Source organism: Homo sapiens, chromosome 2 (genome assembly GCF_000001405.40).
Source record: "Homo sapiens chromosome 2, GRCh38.p14 Primary Assembly".
Lineage (NCBI taxonomy): Eukaryota > Metazoa > Chordata > Mammalia > Primates > Hominidae > Homo > Homo sapiens.
Window position 1 is genome coordinate 221412325 of NC_000002.12, and position 17014 is coordinate 221429338.

Consider the following 17014-nt stretch of genomic DNA (forward strand, 5'->3'; position numbering starts at 1 on the left):
CACAAAAAATTAGCTGGGCGTGGTGGTGGGTGCCTGTAGTCCCAGCTACTCGGGAGGCTGAGGCAGGAGAATGGCGTGAGCCCAGAAGGCAGAGCTTGCAGTGAGCCGAGATGGCGCCACTGCACTCCAGCCTGGGCAACAGAGCGAGACTCCATCTCAAAAAAGAAAAAAAACAAAAAACAAAAACAAAAACAAAAACAAAAAACAAAACAAAAAAAAACAAGCACTATTTCTAACATCATGAGAGTTCACATCAAGGAAAAATGTTTATTATGCTAGCTCAGGTTTTAACTTCAAGAATTTTATAAATAGGACCTAACTTATAAAGAGGCAATTTATGAAGATCCTCTTATTTTACAGATGAAAATTTGTTTTGATTCTCTAAGTTCCTGCATATTTTGAGGGGGGAAAAAGATGGACTCAATTAAACCTTAACTGAATGGTAAATGAGGTGGTGATTTTATTATGTCATCCACAAGATAATGCATAAGCAAGAAGAACCTGGGGGCAATTAGCCTCTTGAGAGATTCTAATATTTTGATAAGTCACAGAAATAAATTCTGAGCAATTTAAAGAAGAATTCTATTAATTGCAGTATTCTCTTTCCCATTTAAAAAAAAATGGTTGCTTGAGTGTCTTCTTGCCTTTTTTTATCATGTATTTCTTGAACTTCTTTGCAACTTTTTAGCCCCCTTACATTTGCCTCTGGCTGATTTTAAATTATGCTAATTGGAAGAGGAGAAAATGCTGGTAATGGAATAAAATGGAATGCTATTTCTTATAGCATCTGGTGCAATCTGAGCCATTTAAAAGTGCATCTTATGGAATAGAGCTCTGAATACGTAGTGCCAGTCTGATTACAAACAACATGGGTCTCATTAGAATATGTCAATCTGATTGCTAGGTAGTGATACACTGCAGATTACTAGGCCATAATTGCCTCTTACATATTATGTGTATAATATATAGCTTCTCTGGGTGTATGTTAAAGCCACTTTCTCTCATGGCTATCTTTTCCAGCTCTACACAAAGAAATGCCTATGTTCCACTAAGTTGATTTTAACTGGGGTCCGTAGGTCCTAATTCTATTTTCTTCTGAGTATTCATCAAGTTTTCTACAGCAGTGCTATAAACAAAGAATTATGTCCAGAGCAATTGCCAGAAATAAGATATGTCAGGCGTCTATTACCCACTCAACTGGGAGCCATCAGTGGCTCAAGGCACTTCCTCCAAAAGGAAAGGGTAAAATAACTGAGGTTAAAGCCCACTATAGCTCCATGTCTTAATTTGCTTGTTGATTTGTGTCATGCATTTTTTCATTGTCAAAACCCATTTGGCTCTTTACTGTAGCTGGAAGAATGCAAACATCTTAGCCCAGGTCACGATTTTGGTGCACACTGTGCCCTACATGATTTAAAATCACCTATGTGAGCTCTGAAAGCAGGACTTCAACATTCCCACTTTCCAGTAGCACAATCTCTCCAACACTTGCTCTACACCATACATGCCCTATCCCCGCCAGTACTACAGCCACCTAGCCCAGCAATGTAAAAAAGCCAAACTCCACTCAGCTGCAAACCTAGCTAAATACTTGGAATATGCCTTGGGGTGTAGAGGTAGAGGATTCAAGAGACTTGAGCTTTTGTATCGACTGTAGAGCCATAAGCTATGCAACGTGGAGTGAATCTGATTGCTGCTCTTTCAGATTTTTCATCTGACACTCCAAAGAATAGATTTCCAAAATGTATTTCAGAGAATTTTTATTCCATGGAGATGTTAAAAGGGATTCATTTCCAAATAGATTTGCAAAAGGTTACGGTAAATTGGCAAAAATTGGTTTCTTTACTATAGGGCTTCTCAGAGTCTATGATATATCAATGTGCCTTATGAATCTACAGAAAAGGGTTGTGAAATACATTATTGTTACTCAATCTTATTAGGCCATAGAGACTTCCCTGCCCTAACCTATCTTCCGCTGAATAATACTCATTGACATCTTATCATCCTAATGTCATATCTAAATACTCACTCTCTGTTGTGCTACATTTGGACGGTATCTCCTGCAAATGGACTCATTCACATGGCCTGACTGGTCCATATAGACATCTGTGTTTGTATAGTAGTTTGTATAGTTGTGCTTTCTATAGTAGTTTTCCATAGAATTGATTAAACTGAGTTCTCAGAACATCCTGACAAAGTAGGGAGCACTTTCTGACATTTTAAAAATGAGTAAACAGAATTTCAGGGAGGTTAAGTGATTTTCCCGAGGTCACACAACCAAAAAGTAGCCAAAGCGGAATTTACATGAAGTATTTTATTACATCTTGCTCAGTCTGTACCTCAGTTAATTTTCCTCTTGTCTTGGGATCCATTTTTTGCTTCTATTTAGTTAATAACTAGTCTCTCTTTGTCACAGGCCATCATCAAAGCGAAGAATGGCATTTGACAAGTGCTATCCATGGCTTTTATGCTTAGAACACAAAAATGATAATTAAGGAAAATCACTACCTTCTCCCCAGTTATATATCAGATGGCTGTATCTTAGTGATAACAGATTATACTCTGCTTTTAGTAAAAAGTAGAATATGGAGATCAATTCTTACAAAACACAGTGTGTTAGATGAACATTGTATTTATGTTACAGTTCTTTTCCACTAGAACTTACCAAAAACAAACAAGCAACATGACAAATCAGTAAAACAATAAGCTATTCGGCAACAGGATAGTCAAGCAGTGTTTAGGGAAGAGTGCAATGGCATATAAACCTGCTAACAATGGCATATAGCGCTGTCATCAAACTGAAACATACCCACCTGATAAACTGTTTGATGAGATAGGATGGAGCAGCTTGGGCTCATCACTGAGTACGCCAGGATGGTATAGAGGTTAGGAGCAAATAGCTGGAGTCCAGCAGCTTGTGTTTAAATCACAAATTCTAATCCTTATTAGCAGGGTAGCTTTGGACTTGCTGTATGCCTTAGTGTTCTCACCTATAAAGTGGGGATAAGAGTAATTTTAACATAGGCTGTTGTGAAAATTTAGAGCTTAGTACCATGTCTGGTATTCAGTGAGTGTTCAAATATGTTAAAAAAATGAAATCTTATATGTGTGGGCACTAACTCCAATTCTTATGAAGCCCTAGATCAAGGTTTTAAGGTCTAGCTCAGCTGATAAATGTCAAGGGGCTAGGGTGGTGTGTTCTTGCACATTTTAGTTGCATTTTTATTTTTCAAAGGAAAAAGAATGTTTTACATCTCTTGCCTGGCATTAGGGTTTTTAATTTATGCTCCCCAACCACCTCCTTCCTCCTAGGGAGACTGAGTGGCTAAGGGAATTTAAACCATGAAAGGCAGGCACTTTCATGTATAAACAAAAGATTGTGCCTAGAGAAAGTGTAGAGATCTGCAATGCAGAAAGGAAAATGCAATTTCTAAAGCATCTGGATAAATGAGGATGCGAACGCAAATGTTATAGCAAGTCTGAATGTTGTTCGTGCTTCTCGGCATCTTGGGGAAATGACCATTTGACGCTTGTGGGAGATCATACTCAAAGCTTGCAGATGCATTCACTTCTCCAAGACACTTTCCCTGACTTTCTCTAGGTGCATGATTTTCCTTTGTACTTGTAGAGACTCTCCAGCCACCCAACACTTTCAGTTCCTCTTCCAATGCTTACAAGAAAACAAATTCCCCACCCCTCAGGAGGTTATGTTTGGTTCATGTGATTGGGTTCTGGCCAATGAGATAAAAGGAGTTGAAACACAAGCCCTTTCTAAGCCTGGTCATAAAGCTTTCAAGAGAATTGTCCACATTCTCTTCCCCTTATGTGGTGCCCTTGGTCACGTAATGAACATGGCAGATCGCAGTTGGGAAGGAGCTTGGATCCATGAGTCACTGCATGGAAAACAGTTGCCAGGAAAATCCTCTGGATCTTCATCACACTGTGAAGTAAGTTAGAAATAAATTTTGTCTGTGAAACCACTGAGAATGTGGGGTCAGTTATTAGAAGCTTGCATTCATTAGCACAAATACTATGAAATGTGATGTTATACTACACTAAAATCAATCTCAAAATTACTGTTAAGTTTACATGTGGCTGGACATTGAGTGCAGAAAAATAGACATTGGAGACTTTGAAAGGTAGGAGGGTGAGAAGGGGCTGAGGGATGAGAAATTACTTAACAGGTGCAATGTACATTCTTCAGGTGATGGTTAAACAAAAAGCTCAAACTTCACCACTATGCAATGTATCTATGTAACAAAACTGCACTTGTACTCCTTACATTTGTACATTTAGGCGGGGTGTGGCAGCTCATGCCTGTAATCCCAGCACTTTGGGAAGCTGAGGTGGGTGGATCACCTGAGGTCAGGAGCTTAAGAACAGCCTGGCCAATGTGGCGAGACCCTGTCTCTACTAAAAATACAAAAATTAGCTGGGCGTGGTGGTATGCGCCTATAGTTCCAGCTACTTGGGAGGCTGAGGCAGGAGAATAGCTTGGACCCGGGAGGTGGAGGTTGCAGTGAGCTGAGATCATGCCAGTGCACTCCAGCCTGGGCCAGAGAGCGAGACTCCATCTCAAAAAAAAAAAAAATAATAATAGTATATTTAAAAATTACAAGTGGCAATTTTGATACCACCCTACCAGCTCATTTTAGAACATTTAGGGAAAAATGCTTTGTGGGTTGACATTCTCTCTTGCTAAACAAGTGAGGGAGAAAATGCCAAACCTAATCCCTTTCGAATCACAAATATGCTGCCAACTACCATACATATTAATATAGTTGACACTAGAGAGCAGCTTAAGTAAGGCATAAACACAAAGTAACCAGACAAGACCCATGTTTTACAATGTTGCCGGTAACACTAAAGGCACACCCCTGCCCTCTGAAGCCAGCTGTTCTTAGGGGCTTTAGCTGAGATACTAAAATAAAACTTAAATCTGATGTTCAATCAATAGGGACTTTGCCAATTGATAATTTAATGAAATAGCATCACGAGGAGATCATTCAGCTTTAAAACAGTGATCCTTAATATTTTTATATCCCATAGCAATTTAGAATTTGATGAAATTTTGCAAACCTCCCCATCAAAACACATATACAAATGTAATAACTGACATTTGTTCAGTTTTAGGGATGCTGTTGGACCTGCTGGAGCACCAATGTACCCTCGAGGATCCGTGGATCCTAGGTTGAAAGCACCTGGCAAGGATGGGTAGCTGGTTGCTTGGATCAGTGACAAGGATGTAAGAGAGGGAACTGGGGGTATTGAAGAAGAAAGTTTATATCATCAAAAAAGCTACTGAGTATCACCACCATTTGTTGAGTTCTGGCTGGATGTTATACACTGTGCTAAATGTTTCAATATATTTAATCTTTTTAAAGCTCTTGCATTGTAATTATCCTACAAGCAAGGAAATGGGCAGAGAGAAGTTAAGAGACTTGCCCTAGACTGTATAATTAGTAAGTGGTGAAGCCTGAATGCCAACCATAGTCTACAGTCTTAATTACGATGGTCTAAGTCAGATTTTTCAAATGCATTGTTCTGAAGGGTGAAGAATCTTTAGAAGATAATAATTTTTTAACCTCTAAGTATGCTCAGTTGGAATTTAAGATTTTTTGTTTTAATTAAATGACAACAAATAATTAATTCATTTAGGCACACCATATATATAGCAAAAGTTATTGAAAGAGACAACCAGATTGCAGGGTTGTATACGGCAACTACTTTATTATTTTCAAATGCAAACTCTTTGCATTTAGTTTGCTATTTTACAATTTTACAAACTAGGTATAAAAGACCATAAATAAATGACATAAGTTATGTGTACCTAAAGTTCATGAAGGGAAGAAAAATACCTTGACAAATTAAAACAAAATAGAAAATCTATGTCTAACTCCAGAAATCACTCAAAGTTTGGAACGTGTGAACCGAACAATGTTCTGTTAATTTCTTATTCAGTATGAACTAAATTATAATATGCCTTATACATTCTAATTTGAACCACAGTCCTTGCATATTCCAACATACTTAGAGTGATACAAAAAATAAACGCACTCTTCAGTGTGTATCAATGCTTGATGTTGTTTGGAGAATGTTAAATAAGTGAAAATATTGCTTCTAGAACTTTCCTTTATGGGTCAGAATTTAAGTGTCTTCAGACAAATATTGAGGCTATACGGGTGTACGGATTAATACACATATCCTTCACAGATTGAATACAAGAGGTCTCAGAATGCACACACCAGCAGTGTAGCGAGCACAACCTTTCTTTAAAATAAGAACGTTTTTCAACCCACCAGAACATTTCACTCGTAAGATTGCTAAAAAATAACTTGGGGCCTGCATACACAAGGTGAAGCTACTTGATTTGGTGCAGCGGGGTAGTTTCCCACTGCTCTAGAGATCGGCACATGAGTTAGCATTGGAGCTCACTCGGCCAGGGCTTGCCCACGGGCTCAGACCCAGACCCTGAAGTTGGCCTCCTACCCTTACCTCTGGAAAAGATGAACTGCTCAGAAGAGTCAACCTCATTTCTTTATACATATTTTTCAGGCATCAATGCATAGGCACATCCCTTAAAAAATATATTAAGGTCCCCAAAAAGGGGTGAATCAACTTTGTCACTCTGGCATAGAACACAATGCCACACACCCTGTCAGAATGTAATAAATATTTATTGATGATTTTCTCTACTTATTCAACAATAAATGGTTCAGAATCTATTTTTTTTCCTCATTTTTCCCTGATTTGATGTTATAGCTTATATAAATGGCCACGGTTTCTGCAACCACAGCTTAGGATAAGCAAGGCAGCCACTCAGATTATGAAAAATGGCAGTAAGTTGGCTGGAGTTTGGTATACATATCATATCAATACTGAATCTTCACACTCCGGAGCTCCGATTCTAGAAGGCTGATGCTCTTGTGAGGGCAACAGGAGTTAGCTGCATATTAATTACTGTAGAACTTTCCAGGTAATTAGGGAATGTGAAATTGCCTGAGGCCATTTCATCCCAACTACCTTAACCTCAAGAGTCACTGGCATGTATTTTTCTGTGATATTGGGAGACAAAGTATTAATCCAGGACACACCATCTCAAAGCTGACACACATATCTACGTTCATCTCCAAAAGTATATGAATTGCATATATTCGTTCGCATTCAACAAGTCCATTTATGCAGGAAAACAAAGGCTACTTGTACTCCATTTGGGGTTACCAGACACATTCCATCTCCTTCTCTCTCTCCATCAAGGAACTGATGATTCAGATGAGTTCAATCAGAAAATTTGTAATTTTGATGATGGGTTGTCACCTGAATGGATTTATATTTTAAATTACTTCACCATTAAGGTGAAAATGCCTCTGTCCAAAGCTGTAGAATTCTTATTAAGGTTAGTGTGACAGCTACAAAATACACGTGTAGATACAGGATGCGTGTAGATACAGGATGCTGAACATCTCTGGGTTGTCTTTCCAAGGGGATGGTCTCCAGGTCCACTGTATCATGTAGTTCTTCATCTTGAAACTGGTGGAAAACCAGAACTCTCCAGGTGTAGCATTCCACAACATTCATGGGTAGTCCTAAGCATGAGGCTACGCACATACACACACCCGCACACAGACAGGCACGCATACAGACACACTCACACCTATGTACACACATCAAAAGAGATAGTCAGCTCATATTTAGTCTAAGAAAAAAATATATTTATATCACTGCAATGGCACACCCTGGGTAAAATGTTACTTCCGCAATGCATATCATAGGCAGCTCATGGAACTGGCTTTGTTTTGTGTGGTTGCACCTGACCTGGTGTCCATAGTAAGACCTGTAGCATTTGGTCACTTGCTGCCACACCAATGCAGCAGTGACACACAGGAATGAAATATGGAAATACATATAAATAAAACCGCAAAGAGTCTGGGGCAAGGGCTCTGCAGAGCTGGTGCTGCGAGACAGTGCATTCCTCAGTGCAACTGGAGAACAGATGCTGAATCTTAAGTGTTTGCTGTTTCTTTCACTGCGAAAGGGGATTTGAAAGTCACACATTTATTCTTTTCAGGTATGGGTGTTGTTTCATCAGTGTCTTTGCCCCAGAACTGGTGTAATTGAAGCAGAAGAAACACATTTAGACGGAACTGAGGAGGGTGTGTTCTGTTTTCTTCCACGGGCTTTGTAATCAACAGGAAGGGCTGTGAGGCCAAGATAGCAGAATCTACTCCCTGTAGATAAAAGAGCAAGACTTTAGACAAAACGTCGACCCATATTGCGAGCCAACTGTCAACCACTATTGTAAGAAAGAATATATAGGTTCGTAGAAGTTGGTATCCTTCAGTAAAAGTAGTTCAGTGGTGAGATCACGAATTATACTTTCCTTTTCTGAAAAATAGCAATTATAAGAGCAAAAAAAACCTGTTTACTAACAGCTTAATTACAACTCCGAGATAGGTACTATTCTTATCTCCATTATATGGATGAGGAAATTGAGCATAAGGAGACTAAGTACCCTGCCCAATGCCATACCCTCTGGAGTGGCAAGGCTGGGATTAGACCCCACAAAGTTCTAATTGATATTTATGCTTTAACCACCGTGTTGAACAGCCTGTCTATGAAATGAAAATCCTGACTTGTTTCAGTTCACAATCCACCCATAGTCAACAATAATGATTGAAAAATGCAAACTAAGGGCCGGGCGCGGTGGCTCACGCCTGTAATCCCAGCGTTTTGGGAGCCGAGGTGGGCGGATCACGAGGTCAGGAGATTGAGACCATCCTGGCTAACGTGGTGAAACCCCGTCTCTACTAAAAATACAAAAAATTAGCCAGGCGTGGTGGCGGGCGCCTGTAGTCCCGGCTACTCGGGAGGCTGAGGCAGGAGGAGAATGGCGTGAACCTGGGAGGCGGAGCTTGCAGTGAGCCGAGACAGCGCCACTGCTCTCCAGCCTGGGTGACAGAGCGAGACTCTGTCTCAAAAAAAAAAGAAAAGAAAAAAAAGAAAAATGCAAACTAAGAAGTGAAAAAAAGTGGTGGTTTTTCTTAACAAGAGAGTAACTCCTGATAAATAGAAGTATCTAATCTAACATGGCGAAAGAGCCATACTCTCTACATGTAAACAGGCAGGAGAGAGGGAACATGGGACACAGGGAGATACTTGCTCTATGAACGACAGAGGTCTTCTAGGTTCAAGCCTCCTTCCACATATCAAGAACTAATCAGCCGCAGGCTGGAATTCTAGACATCAGCCTGGAATCGAACAAGGCTGGCACACAGCAATGGACTCCTCATGGCTCCTCATTGTCCATATATTTGTCACATAATCAACTCAAACCAAAGGAAGTAAGTTCCCTTCTTTCATTTATAACAACCAACTATCCAGATTACTTATTGGACTATGCCTCCCACCACGGTGACCATGTTTAGCAGCTGGTGGCCTCAAGCAAAGGGCAGTAATTAAGACCAAAATGCACTTTTATAGATTATTTTGCCTATTTTATCAAATCACTTGTCTGTTTTGCATATGTGTACATTTATCGTGTAGAGAATAAAATTTAATTTTTTGTAGTAAACGACCATATTTAAAATTGTAGAAAACACTTTAGTCTATTTAAAGAGAGAGAAATCGTTTTCTGGCCAGGTCTTGTAGCTCATACCTGTAATTCCAGCACTTTGGGAGCCCAAGGAGGGAAGACTGCTTGAGCCCAAGAGTTTGAGACCAGCCTGGGCAAAAGAGCAAGACCCCATCTTTAAAAAAAAAAAAAAAAATTAGCCAGGCATGGTTGTGCACACCTGTGGTCCCTGGGTCGACATGAACATGAATGTTATGTTGACAATTACGTAAAAATGACAGAAAAGTCATCAAATCTACCTTCTAACTATTTCCTCTCTGGAAATCGGTCAAATCCATCAAATGTAGTTTTTGAAACCTGAATGTGAAGGGATTTCATCAGGTGGGCAGGTATTTATGTGAAGTATGAGGAGAACATGAATATGATCTTAAAACGCTAGAGTGTATTCCACGTCCTGCGGACACACAAGGTTGGTAATGGTTTCTTTTGCTACTAGAAATTCTTAAAGGAGAAAGAATGGTCTCATAAACACGTGTTGCCTTTCAGTCTGCCAATTCCTTCTCCACTTAACATCTGGATATCAATAGATATTACATAAATATATTTGTAATATTAAGTGGGCAATTTGGGGACTTGGTGTGTATGCAGAAATGATTGGACATTTGAATTGAGATGTAAGGGAATGTGAAGACTTGTATCTACTTAATGCCAGGATACGAGTTGAGTGAAATAAGCCTTCTCCTCACCATTGAATTCAGGCAACTCCTTTATCATGGGAAATTTCTTAAACAGAGACCAGACAAAGCATGTGGTCTATGTAGGGTCATGAGTTAAGGAGAATTCATTGTGACTAAATAAACAAAGGCTTGTTCCTTTGAGTCAGTCGTGATGACATCAAAATGTCTTTACCATCCAGTTCTTTTCATTGCAATAGAATTTTACTTTTGTATCACTGTCTTCCCCATTACAAAACAATAATTTTATAAATGTCAAGGCTAAATAATGCATGTTTATCCTGCCAGCATAACTTGAAAGGTCTACCACCATTGTATAAATATGTATTTACCTCCAAACTCTCATAAATCCATTTAAGTGAAGAAGCTTCACTGTGTGACCCCCCTACCACTGAACTTCATTTCACCCCACTCTGGCATGTTGTAATAAAACAATTGGGGTTACAAGTGAAAGACAGATGAATAATACTTGGACAATGTTGGAGGAAGAAGCGTACCTTTCTTCTGTGGAGCTCACCGTGTTTTACTTAAGAATATTTCATACACACTTGCAACAACACCATGCATTAGGAAAGGTGTTATTATTAAGGTATCATTATCTCTCTAATTTCCAGGTGGAGGAACTGAGTTATAAAGAAAAGTGGAGTGAATTTCCCAGTGTCAACATTTCAGTTGGCTTTAGAATCCATAGCTGTCCGGATGCCAGAGTCTGGCTCTGCGCCCTGGGAAACAATGCATCATTCCTATTGTTCTCACATTTCTCTTCTAAAACTTCATGGAGGTAGTGGAGAGAGTTAACACTTTTACTGTTGCTGGATATTATTTTAGGCACTTGGAAAGTCCTTTTTTGGCCTTTGCATCAGCCTTGACTCTAATATATGCATATGTTGAAATTTTGAAGATTCAGACGGTGACCTTTGAATAAAATAAGATTTCATACTTCACCTCTCCTTTGATCCTTCCCTGATTACTTCATTTACAGAAATACCTGCTGAGCAGGAACAAAACAACACCAGCATAGTATATAATGTTGTTAGGCTATTTCAGAATGGACATGTTCTCTGTTGAAATGGTCTGCTTTTAATATGTTCAGTGTTTAGAAAATACCTTGTCTTAAGTTGTAGACTTTAAGAAAAAAAAAAAAAACTTTTAATTATTCAATGTACACAAGGTAACATTCTGTTGTTAGTTAAAATACAATGCCACCTGGGCGCAGTGACCGACGCCTGTAATCCCAACACTTTGGGAGGCTGAGGCAGGTGGACTGTCTGAGATCAAGAGTTCGAGACCAGCCTGGTCAACATGGTGAAACCCCGTCTCCACTAAAAATACAAAAATTAGCCAGGCCTGGGTGGTGGGTGCCTGTAATCCCAGCTACTTGGGAGGCTGAGGCAGAATTGCTTGAGCCCAGGAGGCCAAGGTTGCAGTGAGCCAAGATTGCACCACTGCACTCCAGCCTGGGCAACAGAGTGAGACTTTGTCTCAAATAGTAATAATAATAATAATAATAATTTTTTTTTTTTACCAAGCAAGCAAAAGAAACAAAAAAGTCCTACATTTGTCAGCTTTTAACGTGAATATCCAGAACTCCTAGACTTCTGCAAAAGTGGTGATAAAACAAAAATTGTTGGAGTAGTTTTAAAAACAAATTTCACATTCCTTCTGAACAGAAAAGCTTTTACAACTTATGTTGCAAAAAAGGTTTTCACTAAACTGTCATGATTTGACAGCATCAAATTTAACATTCCTTGCTCTATAAGAAATAGCTTTCAGGATACAACCAAGGGGAAAGAAAGGTCGTTAAAATCAGCAACTCTTGTTTAAAAGTGATAAAAATGAAATAACTCAAAAAAAAAAAAAGAATGAAAAGTTAAAATGTGTCCAGTCCAAAGTTATGTCCTTTGTTTCTAGGAATGAACAAACTCAATGCTGGTATATAAAAATAGAAGCATTGAAAGCTAATAGGTTTATGGATGAGCAGTGCATTTTTCAGTAGTTCAACTTTCTGATCATGAGAAAGCCGAGGCGAGTTCCAAGTCTCACCACTGGCATCTTGGTGAATCCTCTTTGGCCCTGTTTGGGGATGGAGTTTCCTGGAGCAGGACAGAAAATGAGGCTAATGGAAAAGTCTCGCCAGTACTTCTCCATTGAGGTAAACTCTCCAAAGGACGGGACCCATGACCTAACAAGGTTAGAGAGAAAGCCTCCTGTGCTTGCTGCCTGGTGCCCAGAAGATAATAAATATGTGTACCATGAATGAATGGCACCAAAGGACAGGAGGAGCCCTTCGTGATGGAAAGCACACAGCCAACAGCCAGTGAGCATCTAGGACCATCCCTCAGAGCCTGACCTCATCTGGGTCATATGTCACTTCTCCCCGGAAGAATAGCAGGGAAACCACACTGTGTTTGGTCTCCTCTTTCGCTGTCAAAAAAGGACTGAAATCCTGAAAAACATCAACACAACCTGAGAGACATGAGAGAGTATTTTTCTGTTTTCAGTATTTCGAATGAGATCAAGTTTAAAGCACAAAAGGAGTTTTCACTGGAGAAAAAATCATTCTTGGTTGTTGGACTTACCTTGCAGATCTGGGGTCGCTTCTTTAAAGGAGCGAAGTGTGAACGTTCTCTATTCCAGATTGTCACAGCCCACTATCCACAAGATAGTTAGGACAAGTTTGTAAAGTCCCAAAATAAGACTTTATATGGCACAGCCTCAGGCCCAAAGAAACAGACCTCATTTGTCCAGTTAGGGGTTATGGGGCTTGGGTTACGTATATATATATTTTAAATCCACTTTCCCTTTCTTTCCAGGCCCCCTGTGTCATAGGAATCCACCAGGCGGCTTGAGCACTGAAGAGGCAACACTAATGAGCCACGTCGCTTTCTCCTAGGACTTTTTTTTCCCCCATGGTATGAACCAAGCCCTAAAAGCCACAGCTGAGTCCTTAAAAAATGTTCCTAGGCATGGTCTTCATTCCAGTGAAAGACAGATGACTGTAATTTATGCCACAAACAAAATACAATGGTTGTAATTCCAAATGGAGAGAGAATCAGGGATGTCTCAGAAGCTCAGTGTCTGGCAGCAAATACAGCATCAAAACTCAGAGGCAGTGTTCTATTTCTATAGGTACATGTATTTTACAGACTGGTGATGAACAGAAAAGTACTTCTGAGAAACGATTTGTTCCAGGTCTCATTCAAATGACCGGCAGTCATTTCTGTAAGCCCCACAGTTTCAGCAATCTGTGCACCAAGCAACGCTGCAGATATTGTTTTTTTTTTTCATTTCTTTAATTTCAGAGGGCGAAGACGAAGTAAAAAAAGTGCAGTTCTTCAATTAAAGTGCATGGATGAGGTAAACTAATTTCAAGAGTTTTGAGTTTATTCAGTACTGGCTCAGACGGGAACCATTCTGCCGTGCATCTGCTGCATTTGGGTTCGCATTGCCTGGACACTGCTCAAAATCTTATTCTGGTGCGTGATGGCTGTGATACCAATTCTTGCCAGGTCCCTGTACATAGGGCGACAAAAAAGGGACAGAAGAAGTCACAGGGACTGACAATCTCTTTTCTTGGGCTTCATGCAGACACACGTTTGAATCAGCCACAATTAATACAGCACAACAAGGCAGGTGTATTAAAATGTTTCATTAAGCAATTTAATGCAAGAATGTAGATACTTTATAGAGGCTGTGTAAAATTATACTCAATCAAAATGAGAGGCATTCCAGATTTTTTTTAAATGAGTAGGATGATTACGCAGCTCAAAGCAAAAAAAGAAAATACTATTAAATCTAGATTTACCCTTTCGTGTTACATCGTTGAGTACTTACTCCTGGTTCACGTGCACCACAGCCTCTAGTGTGGTATAACCAGCAGCTGTGAAGTTATCCTTATACCGGTCCATTTTAATGGCCTGGAGCCAATCGCCCACTGATACCACAGCAGAGAATTCAGGGGAGCTTGGATCCAACAAGGCAGTGTTAGGTCTAGAAAGAGAACAAGAAAATATAAGCAGAACGGAGCTACCAGTGAGACAAGAAGACTCAGAAATCTGATTGCCTCAAATAGGCAAGGAGAACTGAAAAGCTAAGGGAAGGTTTTAAATGGAACAATTGTTGTTAAATGTAACTATGCAATATTTTGCTCTTAACTTCACAAAGCTGCTAAAGCATGTATCAATCATCCTATTTTTTCTTAATTCTATTTCCTGCGCTTGTTTTATGTGGCCCTCTGAGGGCATTCATGCTCATAGCAGGTCTTTTAACACCCTAGCCTGGGGTGAAGACTGGGAGAGCCCTCATGGCCGAAACCTGTTCAATCTTTGCAGAAAGAGTCCAGTCTCTGCCAGTACTGAATATTACAGACTTTCGTTCAGCAACTATGGAAACCCTAGTGAAGGATGAGTAAGGAAAACTGCGAGCTTGCCACCTGCCAGACTGGATGGAAGCAGAGAAAACAGCAAGAATTCAAGTCCAGCATGCTTCCAGCCTAGTCTACAGGCAGGCTTGGGGCATTCAAACAAACTTGGGACAGCAGGGAGTTAATCCCCTCTTTAATCAATCCATGCCTGACCAGCACGAGTGCCAAGGCTGGCAGAAGAACGGCCACTTTGATCACTGTTTGGATTGTGGAATGTGCTTCTCGTATTCCCTTGCTGGGGTTCCTGAATAATGATTTCAACAAATTCAAAGCACTTCTTATTAACTTATTTATTAGTTTACTCATTTCTTAGGCCAGGTGTTTTCTATTAGGTCACTGTCACAAGCAATTACAGGCTGGAATTCTGCCTTTCCTAATGATATTGACATATAAAAAATCATTTACTAATAAAAACTATTAAGAGAATTATAGTTAGTTATCTTCATCACCCAATTGCTGAATAACCATAGAGCAGGCCTTCATGGGGTTATTTTATACTACCTTTACTTATAATAACCTGTAGAAAAATACTGCTACTTGTTAAGTCATAGTTTTTGAACTTCTGTTTTTCCTAAAACTCACAGAATGTGTTTGATCTTAACATTTTGACCTGATTTTCAACGTGATACTATGTTTAAGTACAAACATTTAAATCACAATTATATCATTACTACTAAATTTTCAACCAAAAAACTCTTTCCTTGTAAAAACAAAATTAAGTCGATATAATGCTTTACTTTTCTACATAGCAGAATTAATCCAATTCGATTTTTAAAATTTTCATTTTTATCTAAATTGACTTGACTTGTATTATTTCTTTTTTATATAAATATTTTAACAAAGATTTGTTTTATCAGTCAGTTTTGTGTCCAAATAATACCTTGCCATTGTAACCTGTCTTTTGTGTCCATTATTTCAATATAAGTTTGATTTTCTAAGTACAATTCTGTAAATGTTTACAGCAAAAATAATCAAGATATAATTATTCTTTCAATTTTGAGTCAACAACAAATGTTACCACATAGAATTTTGGACATTTAATTGAGTGTGGATATATAGCAATAATATTTGTTATTAGACAAAAGCCAATAGTTTGCATTTACTTCTGACTTTAAGCCAAAAGCATTAATGAGGAAGATGTAGGCTCTGAGCACCGACAAGGTCAAAATGACCTTACAATGAAAATATCTTCACTCGATGTCAATTAACTTTAAGGGTGGTTCTTAAGCTTGTTCTGGAAGCCTCTGTGCTCTTGGTAGCACACCATGATGTTAGCCTAATTTTGTGCTGAATCACATACCATGTTATACTACATCTCATTATAGGTAAGCCATAATAAGCTTCAAAGCTATTTAAGTACCATCAGCAAAAAGAATTTAGAACTGATAATAGTGTATCTAATACCTCAACTTGTTCTGTACCTTGGGGCAAAGCAGATGCTATGTGATAGTAGTGGTTGAATGACTTATGCTAACAGAAGAAGTACCAAACACCAAAAAACTGGCCTTGAATGGACCCTCAGACAAAATACATGGGCTCTGGTGCTGAAGATCTAAAAGGTGGAAGAGAAGTCAGCTAGATCTGGAAAGGAGGCCTTATAGTCATCTATTTCACCCTCCTGGAGAACAGAAGAACAAGAAATAGCCTCACAATAGTAGGAGACTTTTAATTTTTTTTAGTTCACATAGTGACCAAGTGGCAGAGGTGAAATGTTAATTCAGCCCTTTTCAGTGTTATTTGAAAAGAGCTGGATAGACCATTGAGCATTTTGTGTAGTGGCTAATGACAGGGATTTGAAAACCTGGTGGAGAATATAGGGTATCTCTACTATCTATTCCACAGTTCTCTTTTTTTTCATGTAATGTGTTTTCCTTCTTTTCTAGAATCTTTAGTCCAAGTTTTCAGGAGAAAGATGAGAGGAGAACACCACAGGGCCTGCAAAGACTGGAAGGGCTTAAATATTACGGGAGAAAATGTCCTCCTATTTTTAACACAGGATCATGATGAAACAGAAGCCTGTGAGAAGCTCAGACTTGGAGATGAGTGAGTGTCTCACCTCTCGCAGGCCTGAGTCACCTGGTCTATTATGCCTGTATTCTAAAATAATTTAACTGATAAAGATGGTCCACACCCTTTCAGATGAGACTACTGATATGTAGGTATCCTGAGTCTTATACCAGTAAAGTCCATTCTCCATGTAGAAAGTTCTCACTGAACTTGTAGGACTTATAGTATCTTTATGTTCTCTACAGACTGATATACTTCTTCATTTTGCTCATTCCAAGA

At 39.2% G+C, this 17014-nt stretch overlaps 1 protein-coding gene across 4 annotated transcripts in view, besides 1 other annotated feature; it reads right to left on the minus strand.

Moving 5' to 3' along the window:
- Positions 1-5702: 5702 nt before the first annotated feature.
- The window catches only part of EPHA4 (EPH receptor A4), a 156176-nt gene continuing 144864 nt past the window's right edge, over positions 5703-17014 (minus strand). For 3 of the 4 annotated variants that reach the window (NM_001304536.2, NM_001304537.2, NM_004438.5), the window contains 3 exons: positions 14140-14295; positions 12885-13818; positions 5703-8228 (listed from right to left, as the gene is read on the minus strand). In NM_001304536.2, coding sequence (NP_001291465.1) covers positions 13704-13818; positions 14140-14295 — 271 coding nt within the window. In that variant the 3' untranslated portion in view covers positions 5703-8228; positions 12885-13703. Of the gene's footprint in view, positions 8229-12884; positions 13819-14110; positions 14296-17014 lie in introns of all 4 variants that reach the window. The other variant, NM_001363748.2, reaches the window with a different exon arrangement.
- Positions 12625-13824: an enhancer, noted in NCBI's record as "BRD4-independent group 4 enhancer chr2:222289669-222290868 (GRCh37/hg19 assembly coordinates)". NCBI's record gives its function as "activates an origin of replication core promoter dependent on BRD2, P300/CBP, MED14 and CDK7 cofactors, and independent of BRD4, by STARR-seq in HCT116 cells {active_cell/tissue: HCT116}" and the evidence as "EXISTENCE:reporter gene assay evidence [ECO:0000049][PMID:35650434]".